The sequence below is a fragment of the Homo sapiens genome, chromosome 7, assembly GCF_000001405.40.
Source record: "Homo sapiens chromosome 7, GRCh38.p14 Primary Assembly".
In the NCBI taxonomy this organism is placed as follows: Eukaryota; Metazoa; Chordata; class Mammalia; order Primates; family Hominidae; genus Homo; species Homo sapiens.
In genome coordinates, this window is record NC_000007.14 from 6,524,675 (window position 1) to 6,536,285 (window position 11,611).

General features: G+C 57.1%; 1 protein-coding gene across 4 annotated transcripts in view, besides 3 other annotated features; it reads right to left on the reverse strand.

Annotated features, from left to right (window-relative positions):
• The window catches only part of GRID2IP (Grid2 interacting protein), a 54,684-nt gene that overhangs the window by 27,897 nt on the left and 15,176 nt on the right, over positions 1–11,611 (reverse strand). For 3 of the 4 annotated variants that reach the window (NM_001145118.2, NM_001388403.1, XM_047420365.1), the window contains 2 exons: positions 1,847–2,095; positions 1,550–1,635 (listed from right to left, as the gene is read on the reverse strand). In NM_001145118.2, the coding sequence (NP_001138590.1) occupies positions 1,550–1,635; positions 1,847–2,095 (335 nt within the window). Of the gene's footprint in view, positions 1–1,549; positions 1,636–1,846; positions 2,096–6,393; positions 6,540–11,611 lie in introns of those variants that run through there. The other variant, NM_001394781.1, reaches the window with a different exon arrangement.
• Positions 1,825–1,994: a silencer, noted in NCBI's record as "silent region_17951". NCBI's record gives its function as "represses an Ori minimal core promoter by ATAC-STARR-seq in GM12878 lymphoblastoid cells {active_cell/tissue: GM12878}" and the evidence as "EXISTENCE:reporter gene assay evidence [ECO:0000049][PMID:35858748]".
• Positions 2,175–2,224: an enhancer, noted in NCBI's record as "active region_25630". NCBI's record gives its function as "activates an Ori minimal core promoter by ATAC-STARR-seq in GM12878 lymphoblastoid cells {active_cell/tissue: GM12878}" and the evidence as "EXISTENCE:reporter gene assay evidence [ECO:0000049][PMID:35858748]".
• Positions 6,277–6,676: a silencer, noted in NCBI's record as "silent region_17952". NCBI's record gives its function as "represses an Ori minimal core promoter by ATAC-STARR-seq in GM12878 lymphoblastoid cells {active_cell/tissue: GM12878}" and the evidence as "EXISTENCE:reporter gene assay evidence [ECO:0000049][PMID:35858748]".

The following is an 11,611-nucleotide window of genomic DNA, read 5'->3' on the forward strand; positions in this document are numbered from 1 at the left end:
ATGCCACTGCACTCCAGCCTGGGTGACAGAGGGAGACCTCATCTCTCGTTTGTTTTTTTTGAGATGGAGTCTCACTCTGTCGCCCAGGCTGGAGTGCAATGGCATGATCTCAGCTCACTGCAAGCTCCGCCTCCCGGGCTCACGCCATTCTCCTGCCTCAGCCTCCCGAGTAGCTGGGACTACAGGCACCTGCCACCACACCTGGCTAATTTTTTTCTGTATTTTTAGTAGAGACGGGTTTCACCATGTTAGCCAGGATGGTCTCGATCTCCTGACCTCGTGATCCACCTGCCTTGGCCTCCTAAAATGCTGCCCCGGCCAACCTCATCTCTTAAAATAAAATAAAATAGGCCGAGTGTGGTGCTCTTGCCTGTAATTCCAGAACTTTAGGAGGCCAAGACGGGTGGATCACCCGAGGCCAGGAGTTCAAGACCAGCCTGGCCAACATGACGAAGCCCCATCTCTACTAAAAATATAAAAAAATTAGCTGGGTGTGGTGGCAGGCGCCTGTAATCTCAGCTACTCAGGAGGCTGAGGCAGGAGAATCGCTTGCACCTGGGAGGCAGAGGCTGCAGTGGGCTGAGATCATGCCATTGCACTCCAGCCTGGTCAACAAGAGCAAAACTCTGTCTCAAAAAATTAAATTAAATAAAATTTTAAAAATAGGCCAGGTGTGATGGCTCACGCCTGTACTCCCAGCGCTTTGGGAGGCCAAGGCGGGAGGATTACTTGAGCTCAGGAGTTCAAGACCAACCTAGGCAATATGGCAAAACCCCAGCTCTACCAGAAATACAAAAAATTAGCTAGGCATGGTGGCGTGCGCCTGTGGTCCCAGCTACTCTGGAGGCTGAGGAGGCTCTGGAGGCTCAGCTACACTTGAGCCTCGGAGATGGAGGTTGCAATGAGCCAAGATTGCACCACTGCACTCCAGCCTGGGTGACAGAGCGAGACACTATCTCATTAAAATAAAATAAAATAAATAAAAAGATGCCATGATTTCAGGAACAAGAAGGAGCAAGCAGGGTGGGAGGAGAGCGAAGTCCATATTCAGCAGGTGTTAGACAGCAGGCAGAGGCCCTGAGGCCCTTTTGGCTGTCTGAGTCTGGCCTGCCAGGCAAGAACCCAGTTCAGCGTGGGCACTCCATGAAGCTCGTGTTGCTGGGGGCACAGCCTGGGTAGGCAGCAGCTCAGTCCTGGCTGCCCCAGAGTCCTAGACAGTGCCCCGGCCCTCCCTGTGGACACAGGAAAGGTCTGGATGCAGAACCTGGTTCCCTTGGCTTGGGGGGATGCTGAATTTAGAGGGGCAGGGGTGGGGTGCCCCAACTCAGGCAGAAGGCTCTGGCCTCAAGCATCTTAGGTAGGAATGGGATTCAGATCTGCTGGCTCTGGGACACTCTGGGGACACGGTCTACACAAGGATGGTACCTGACGTGGAGGGGTTGCTGAGCAGGAGCCTACATGGGGTACAATGACCCGGCAGAGCCACCACGGGGCCCTTCACCCCATCCTGGGCCTTAGGGACTCTTAGGGCAACCGGCCCACCCCTCACCAGGCAGGACAGACTCGATCCAGACAGGCCCGTGGCCGCGAAGTGTGAAGCCGAAGCTCTTGTTGCCTTTGTAGACTCGGACAGTCCTGGGGGAAAAAGAAGGGGCGAGCAGCATGATGGAGAGGGGGCCCTGGGGCGCAGAGGTTGGAGATGTCCCGTGTCCCTCTCCCCTTAACCTCTCCGGCCCCCTATGCACCCCAGATGCCCAGCCCCGCCCCTACGCCCTCTCCCCGGGTCTCGGTCCCGAGCCCACCCGCAGGGAGGCGCCCGCTGCCAGTGCCTGTGAGCCCCGCGTACCTGCGCGCGCCCCCGGGGCCGGCGAGGCCGCCCACCAGCAAGGAGGCCCTGCGCGGGGGCGGCTCATCGGGGCGGCGCGGCGGGGCGCTGGCGCGCGTGGACACCAGGAGGCGCTCCGGCCGCTCCTCGCTGCGGCTCCGGCGCAGTCGCTGCGCGCCCTGGGCCCGGCGTGCGCGGCACAGCTTGCCCAGGAGGCCCTGAGACACCACCTCGTCGAAGCGCGCCCGGTGCTTCTTGGGGATGAAGATCCTGCCGGCGAGGACGGCGGAGTCGGGGCGCGTTCCCGGACCCCGGATCTCTGCAAACCGCGGCCCGAAGGCGCGTCCTCGCGGGCGCCGCCCTAGGCTCTCCCACCTCTTCCTAGGAGTGGCGGAGGGCTGGGGGGATCGGGATGAGCAGCCGGTAGCACCCCAGTCTCCCCCTCGCTGCTCGGATTTGCGCCCCCAGCTAGGACTTGGCGTCCTGCTCGCTTCACCTCGGGAATGGCCCGTTCGGACCGTCCTCCATGACTCTGGCCACTGCAGGGCCCGAGCCCCTCAAAGCCAGTCCACGGACCCGTTCCTCCTCCTGCCTCTGTCCTCTCCCCCCACTCCCTCTGCACCCGCCAGGCCAAGCCCTGAGCCAGGGATCCCCACCACCCACTGTCTCCCACCTCGTCTCTAGATGGCTCTGCTGGAGGAAACTGGAACCCACGAGCCCCTCACCACGCCTCCAGTCTTCCTGCTTGCTTCTCTGTCCAGGCCCATCTGCAGCTGCCCACTCAGATATCTGGCAGGAACCCCGTTTCTGCCACCTTCAGTCCTATCTCTAAGCTCTTGCCCAGGCTCTTGCCCAGGTCCACTCCTTTGCTTCCTTAGCTAAATGAGGCTCCGTACCCAACACTGGCCTCCTTTCAACTTAATCCTACATGTATTCAGGGAGCCCCTGCTATCTGTGCCAGCCAGGAACTGGCGTTCAAAGCTAAAGGGACTGTGGCTCCTGCTCTCAAAGTAGTTACCTTGGAAGTGAGAGGCAGGGGGAAGGCCCGTGGGTCTCCGCTGCAGGGCTAGAAACTCTCTCTCTTTCTCTGTCTCTCTCGTTCTCTTGAGAGAGGGTCTTGCTCTGTCTCCCAGACTACAGTACAGTGGCACGATCATAGCACGATCATAGCTCATTGTAACCTGGAACTCCTGGTCTCAAGGGATCCTCCTGCCTCAGCCTCCCTTGTAGCTAGGACTACAGGCACATGCCACCAGGCTAATTTTTTTTTTTTTTTTCAGACAGAGTCTTGCTCTGTCGCCCAGGCTGGAGTACAATGGTGAGATCTCAGCTCATTGGAACCTCCACCTCCCCAGTTCAAGCAATTCTTCTGCCTCAGCCTCCCGAGTAGCTGGGATTACAGATGCATGCCACCACGACGGCTAATTTTTGTATTTTTAGTAGAGATGGGGTTTCACCATGTTGGCCAGGCTGGTCTTGAACTCCTGACCTCAGGTGATCTGCCCGCCTCGGCCTCCCAAAGTCCTGGGATTAGACGTGAGCCACTGTGCCCGGCATTTTTTTTTCTTTTTAATTTTTTTTGTAGAGATGAGGCTCTATGTTGCCCAGGCTGGTCTCAAACTCCTTGGCTCAAGTGATACTCCCACCTCCACTTCTCGAAGTGCTGGGATTACAGGCGTGAGCTACAACACCCAGCCTTGGAAGCTTTCCGGGGGTTATGTCTATAGTTCAATCCTGAGCCACAGTGACTAGCCAGGGCTCAGCACATAGGAGAGACTCAGTCAACAGGAGATCCACCAGCAGCCTAACCCCATCTCTGAGTAATGGCAGCAGTTAACATCCTGATGGACTCTCCGGTCTGTGGCAGAGGATTCTGAGGCACAGAGAGGACCTGTAGCTCTCCACGGTTACACAGCTGGCCTGTGGCACAGCTGGCATCAGAGAACAGACTTCAGCGCTCAGCACTGTGGCAGGACCTCTAACAAGAGCCCCTGAAGGTCTGGTTGCCTGTGAGGTCTCCCTGGCTGCATCCCAAGGCCCCCTTCCCTGTTCCTTGTACCAGGTGCCAGGGCCAAGGGCAAGATGAGGGGGAGAAGGGAGAAGGGATCAGTGGCCTTGCAGCTGAAAGACAAACCCCTCTGAGGTGTCCCAGCGGCCCTCACACTTCCCTCCACCTCTGTGGGTAGGAGTAATTAGGCCCGCCAGGCAAAAGAAATTGCCTGGTGGGAGGAAGTGGGTGTGGATTCTCAGGGAGGAGGCTCTGTCCCCGCAGTGAGCTCCGCTCCAGGTCTCGATGGTCCGGGGGGTAACCAGGAACCAGGATGAATGTCCTGCTCACCTCTGCCCGGTGCCCATTCCCATCCACCTGCAATGCTTCCTGCAAATCCGGAAACACAGCCTCATCCCCCAGATGGTCATTTAAGGTCTCCAGAGCCTGACCGCTCCATCTGCCAGGCCTGCACATTCCCTAGCGCCTCCCAGACCTCAAGCCTCATGTCCAGGCAAAGGAGAGAAGACACACACACCTGAGACTGTCCACCTCACTTCCGGCTCCAGCCACAGACTCTGAAGACATCACCCCATGCACCCAACCCTTGAGTCCAACCTGGGCAGGGGTCAAGAGGACATCACAGCTCTACCTTCCAGCAGCAACTAGAAAAGGCCCTGTCGTCCGGGCGCGGTGGCTCAAGCCTGTAATCCTAGCACTTTAGGAGGCCGAGGCAGGCAGATTACCTGAGGTCAGGAGTTCGAGACCAGCCTGGCCAAAGTGGTGAAACCCCATCTCTACTAAAAATACAAAACTTAGCCGGGCATGGTAGTGCACTCCTGTAATCCCAGCTACTCAGGAGGCTGAGGCACGAGAATTGCTTGAACCGGGGAGACAGAGGTTGCAGTGAGCCGAGATTGTACCACTGCACTCCAGCCTGGGCAAAAGAGTGAGACTCCATCTCAAAAAAAAGAAAAGGCCCTGTCCCCCAGGTGGGAACCAGGCTGTCACCAACTGCACAGATGGAAGAAGGTTGGGCAGCCCTTTCCTTACTTGGTGTTTTTGGGGCTGAGACAGAGGCCAAGGCTGCCTGGTGAGCCAGACATCCAACCTGGCTCCTGCTGGCCCTCCATGCAGCTCAGTCTGGCCCAGAGTCCCCAGCCCTGGGTCTGCCCTAAATCGACTGACCCAGCAGAGCCAGGAGCAGTGGGGCCACAGTGACTATTACCACCAGTCACTATCCCCCCTGAGTGGCAGTCCAGCAATCACTGTCTCTGGACTCTGGAGTCCCTGCTATGCCAACAGGCCTCTCTCAGGCCACAGGACTCTTCCTGGGGGCCACACAATGACCTTGCACACCGGGTCAGTTCTGTTCTCTCTGCCAGAGTCAGGTCTAAATCCAACCCCAAGTTCCTACCCCGCCCCCTCCTAGGGTCCTCTCTCCCCACCCAGCTTTCTCTCTCTCTCTCTCTCTCTTTTTTTTTTTTTTTAAGACAAAGTCTCGCTCTGTCACACAGGCTGGAGTGCAGTGGTGCGATCTCCGCTCACTGCAAGCTCCGCCTCCAGGATTCATGCCATTCTCCTGCCTCAGCCTCCCGAGTAGCTGGGACTACAGGCGCATGCCTTCACACCCGGCTAATTTTTTGTATTTTTAGTTGAGACAGGGTTTCACCGTTTTAGCCAGAACGGTCTCAATTTCCTGACCTCATGATCCGCCCGCCTCGGCCTCCCAAAGTGCTGGGATTACAGGAGTGAGCCACCGCGCCTGGCCTTTTTTGTTGTTGTTTGTTTGTTTGTTTGAGAGAGACTCTCTGTCGCCCAGGATGGAGTGCAGGGGTACACTCTTGGCTCACTGCAACCTCCGCCTCCCAGGTTCAAGCGATTCTCCTGCCTCAGCCTCTCGAGTATCTGGGGCTACAGGCATGCACCACCACACCTGGCTGGCTTTTTAAATTTTTAGTAGAGACGGGGTTTCACCATGTTGGTCAGGCTGGTCTCGAACTCCTGACCTCAGAAGATCCGCACCCCCCACCCCCCTCGCCCTCCCAAAGTGCTGGGATTACAGGCGTGAGCCACCGCGCCTGGCCCCCCACCCAGCTTTCTTTATCTCACCTTTGATCATCAGCCAGCGAAATGGTGGCAAGGGGACAAGGGTTCCCTGGTTCAGTATAGGGAGCACGGCAGTGGAGAGGTCGTGCCCCCCAAACTCAGGACGAGATGCCCCCGATTTTCACAAGAGCACCCAACCTCAGTCTCGGCCCTCTGTCCTGTCCCCTCGACCAGCCCAATTGTAGGAAGGAAAGTGGGCTTTCAATCCCAGCCTTTTATCCCAACACCGACTCTTTAGGGCCACGCACGGGTTCTGAGCGCCCAACGCTTAGACCTCGCCGCCCCGGTACCCACCGAGTTTATTTCCAACCTCCCTGGGCCTCGGGCTCCGCCCAGGCTCGGAGGGTGCCCACCCAGGGCAGGGAAGCCCCTCCACGCTCCAGCCCCACCCGCTTTCAGACCAGCCCGAGGCGGATCCGTGGCGCAGAGGGCGCACGGTTCCCGGAGGCGCGGGACGCGATGGGGAAGCTACCGAAAGTGCCGAGAGAAGCCCTGGTCCTTCCCCATCTGGAGCCGGGGACCGCGGCGCGGCAGGTGCCGAAGGGCAGGGGGTAGCCGAGCCCAGGAATGGAGCGAGCGCGCCGCGACTCCACGCACCTCTGCCCTGCGAGCGCGCGCGGCCCCTCCCGAGCCGTCCCGGCCCGCAGCCCCGCCCTGGCCCCTTTTGGTGGCCCCGCCCCCTCCAGGTAGCCCCGCCTCTGCCCTGCTGGGACCCTTTTGGTCGCTCTGGGGTGCAGCGGAAACTGGCGGCGGTTTGAAGCCGCCGCGCTCACTCCCCTTGGCTCTCTCCGTTATTCCCTTCCCAGGATCCTCGCCTGCGTCCTCTCCAGCTACTGCGCCCCGGACCCCCACACAGTGGCGAGTCCCCGCAGTTCAGAGGAAGCCCCGACGGCCTTTGGTAGAACATGCAATATTTTCCGGAGGGGATGCCCTTTACGCTGGGCCTCCAGGGCTCAGCAGGAGTCGGCCGGCTAGAAGAAGCCCTGTTTACCCTCCCCGGGGTCGGGAGGGACCCACCTCAGCCTCCCAAGTAGCTGGGACTACAGGCATATACCATCATGCCTGGCTAATTATCGGCTGTGGCCGAGAAGAGGCTGGATAGGGAGGCTTTGAATGCCGTGGTCAGCAGCTGAGACCCCACTCTGGGAAGAGGAAGGAGCCGTGGGAGGGTTTCATGGTTCCAGGAGAGGTGGAAGGACTCCAAAGGTTTTGGCACACCAGGAGAGGGCTGATGCTGGGAGGTGACCCAGAGGGGGGTGTTGGGATGGGACAAGAAGCCGAATTCCAAAACACAGAGGAGGTGGAGTGTCTGAGGCCTGGGGAGTCAGTGCGAGTGAGGACAGGACGCCCAGGCTGCGACAACACCCAGGTGAGTGGGGAGGGAGCGAGTAGAGGGCCTCCCAGAGCTGCGCCTCTTGCTCTGCCAGGAGAGAAGAGGGGAGGAACATTAAAGGGGAGGAGAGGGAGGCCACAGGAAAGGAGGTCTGGACTCATCCCTGGAGGCTCTGGGCCTGCCATCCCCTGAACAGCAGCAGGAGGGGACCCCAGCGTGCCTGCTTGCGTGTCATGTCTCAAGGAGTCCCGACTGCCTCTGGAGAGGCCCAGAATCAGGCCTGAGGAACAAATGAGAGTTGGGGTAACCAGTTCAAGGCACATCCTGGGGAGGGGCTCTTCAGGGGCACCCCCAACCAGAACATCAGCATGAAGCCCTCTCCAAAGACAGGCGGGAACAGGAGAGGCAAGATGCCCCGGGGACTTTCCCTCTGTCTCACTCAGAGGGACAGCTCCCATGGGGCAGCCTGTGGGTACCTGCAGGCAGCACAGGGAGGACCCTCTGGTCCGATCATCGGTCTCTGGTACTGTCCACGCACTGCTCCCCAATACACTGCAGCCCCCCATTCCTGGCCCTTGCAAGACCATCACTTTGCTGTGACCCCCCGTGGCTGTACTTCTTCCTGGAAGCAGCCAGAAACTGGAGCCAGTGCCCACTCATGCCGTGCCCTCCCCAAGCCCTGTCCTCAGCCCTGCAAGGGAGAGAAGCAGCTGACAAGCCTCCCAGCCAGCACAGCTCTCTGTCGTCTGTGGGGCCCCAGCCATCCCATTATGATTGGAGCCATTCCTGGTTGTATTGTGCCAGCTGCAGTGGCCCAGAATCCAGAACCACACATGGCCAAAGGCTCTGAAAACCATCCACCGTGCTGTGAGCACAGGAGATGCAACCAGGGAGCAGACGCCCAGGGTCAAATCCAGGCACGCTACCTCAGAGCCAGGTCTCCGTGGGCACAGTGGGGCCAGCTGCTCATGCCTGTGGCCAGGTGACCCAGGGCAGCATGAGGTGGTCACCCAGTCACTAGGTGATCACCAGGGGACAGGCAACAGCCGGACTTCCCTGAAGTGTCTGCTCCAGCAAAAGGCACTGCTTAAGTTTCCTCCAGAGCTGTACTTCTCAACCAGTCGTGATTTTTGTCCACCCAGGGGATATTTGGCAGTCACTTGGCATTTTGTTTGTTACAAAATGACAACTGACAGGGGTTGTGCTACTGGCATCTAGGGGGTAGAGGCCTGGGATACTGCTAAACATCCTCTAATGTGCAGGACAGCCCCTGACAACACAGAAATATCAGCTCCTAAATGTCAGCAGTGCCCTACTTGAGACACCTGCTCTTGGGAACGAGAGCTTCCCTAAGAGAAGCCAATACTAATTGAGCACATATTTTATGCCTGGTGCTTCTATCTACACGTCTCATAGAATTCTGCCAATATCTCTCTTATTTATTTTTAGAGACAGAGTCTCACTCTGTCACCCAGGCTGGAGTGCAATGGCATGATCATGAATCACTGCAGCCTCAAATTCCTGGGCTTAAGTGATCCTCCCACCTCAGCCTCCCAAATAGCTAGGACTACAGGCATGTACCACTATGCCTGGCTAATTTTTTAATTTTTTTGTGTGTAAACATGGGGTCTCGCTCTGTTGCCTAGGCTGGTCTTCAACTCCTGGCCTTAAGCAATCCTTCTGTTTCAGCCTCCAAAATCGCTAGGATTACAGGCAGGCACCACTGCCCCCAGCTCATTTTTAAACTTTTTTTTTTTTTTTTTTAAGAGATGGGGTCTTGCTGTGTTGTCTAGGCTGGCCTTAAGCTCCTGGGCTCCAGTGATCCTCCTACCTCAGCCTCCCAAAATGTTGGGATTACAGGCATGAACCACCAAACCCAGCTAATTTTTTATATGTATTTTTTGTAGAGATGGGGTTTCACTATGCTGCCCGGACTGGTCTTGAACTCTGGCCTTAAGCAACCCTCCCACCTCAGCCTCCTAAAATGCTGGGCTTACAGGCATGAACCACTGCACCCAGTCCCAATAACTCTATATTATGGTGTTCATGACACTTGGCACTGAAGCAGAAGAGGGTGACGGGGTGCAGATAGTCCCTCACAGGCCACCCTTAGATTCTCAACTCACCTTTCCTGCTTTCAGTTGGCCAAGTTCATTTACATGGTTTCCTACCAAGAACCCTGCTGAGAACACCCAGAAACTACCAAGCCCGTTTTACAGACAAACTGTAGATGTCAGTGAACCTGCCTGAGATTGCACTGCCAGTGAGTGGACCTGTATTCAAGCCGGGTCTGTCCGGATTCCGAATCCCAGCTTCTACCATGACCTGCCCCTGACCTGACACCCCGTTCCCCCCACGCCACCACTCATATTTCCTGAAACGCTAGCGGACCACAAAGCTGACTCTGCTTTCCTGTTCCCTCCTGGCCACGTCACACTTTCCAAACTGCCTGGCCTGTCCTAATTAGAAAGCCATTTTCTCACTTCATCAGACCGGGGTCCCTTTGGGGAGAGACCCAAATTAGCCTCCCAGTCGCAGGATTAACTGTTGTGGTGAAGGAATAGGAGACCACCTGCTTACATGGTGACCACGGACCCATCTCACCCTTTACAGCAGCAGCGCTGTCCAAGGGAACGTTCTGTGACGATGGACAAGGTCTACATCCGCCTGGTCCTGTACGGTAGCCGCTAGCCATATGTCACTGTCACTGTTGTGTGCTTGGAATGTGGCTAGTGAGACTGAGAAGCTGAACTTTATATTTTATCAAATATTAATTACATTTAACTTTTTTTTTTTTGGAACAGAGTCTGGCTCTGTCACCCAGGCTGGAGGCTGGAGTGCAGTGGCTTGTTCTCACCTCACTGCAACCTCCACCTCCCGGGTTCAAGCGATTCTTCTGCTTCAGCCTCCCAAAGTAGCTGGGATTACTGGCAACTGCCATCATGCCCAGCTAATTTATTTATTTATTTATTTTGAGATAGAGTTTCACTCCTGTTGCCCAGGCTGGAGTGCAATGGCACGATCTCGGCTCACTGCAATCTCCGCCTCCCAGGTTCAAGCGATGCTCCTGCCTCAGCCTCCCGAGTAGCTGGGATTACAGGCATGCGCCACCACCCCCAGCTAATTTTGTATTTTTAGTAGTGACAGGGTTTCTCCATGTTGGTCAGGCTGGTCTCAAACTCCGGACCTCAGGTGATCCACCCGCCTCGGCCTCCCAAAGTGCTGGGATTACAGGTGTGAGCCACCGCGCCGGGCCTTGCCCAGCAAATTGTTGTATTTTTAGTAGAGGCGAGGTTTCACCATGTTGGCCAGGCTGGTCTCGAACTCCTGACCTCAGGTGATCCACCCGCCTCGGCCTCCTAAAGTGCTGGAATTACAGGCATAAGCCAGCACGCCCAGCCACATTTAACTTTAAATAACCATGTGTGGCCAGTGGCTACTGTGCTAGATGGCCCAGCTTCATGGTGTCACTGCTCCCTTCTCCTTCTCCCCAAGCCTTCTATTTTGGCCACTGGGATCACCCTTTAGTGAGGCCACACCTCTCTGATTTGGGTGGGTCCTGGCCTCCTTGCAGATCTCTGACACACACACACGTGTATATTTTTTTGCCTACCACCCTTTGGCTGTTCAACCTCTCACTTAAACCTTACCTCTTGGTGGGGCACAGTGGCTCACACCTGTAATCCCAGCACTTTGGGAGGCTGAGATGGGAGGATCTCTTGAGGCCAGGCCAACCTGGGCAACATAGTGAGACCCTGTCTCTATTTATAAATTCTTAAAAAAATTAAACCTTGTCTCTCCTCAATGTGGGGTCTTAGGGCCCAAGTGGTGGCTCTCTGTGGTCCCCTCTACTCCCTGTTGGGTGGTTCACAGCTGGGGGCTGTTGGATGCCATAGGCCAGGGCGGCACTGCCCTCACCCTGTATGGCTAGCACCTGGCCCATCCGAACTCTCCTTGGGGACTGTCCTCCCACATCTACAGGACGCACCACCAGACTCCACCAGTCACTAAGCCACAGCACCGCCACCTCCTGCTGCCTCCTCCAAGAAGCCTGCCCTGGTTGCTCTGTGCTGAGTTAGCCATCAACTGGCACCCAACCCTGGGAATCACAGCTGCGTCTGTGGCTTCTCCATGCCCCCTCTGACCTCTCTCCAGATGGGGCTGCCCAGAGATCGCTGCCACCCTAGAGGCCAGCACACTATGGGGCCATGGGTGACTGGCCAGCCCTGGGGAGGGGGTTGTTGGGAAGTAGGGGGTTTGAAGAGGTGCGGGGTGGCTGAAGCCCTACTGCCAGGGTAACATTCTCCTTGCGGAGCCCAGCTGGGCGCCGCCCCTTCCTCCAGCAGCCTCCCCAGTT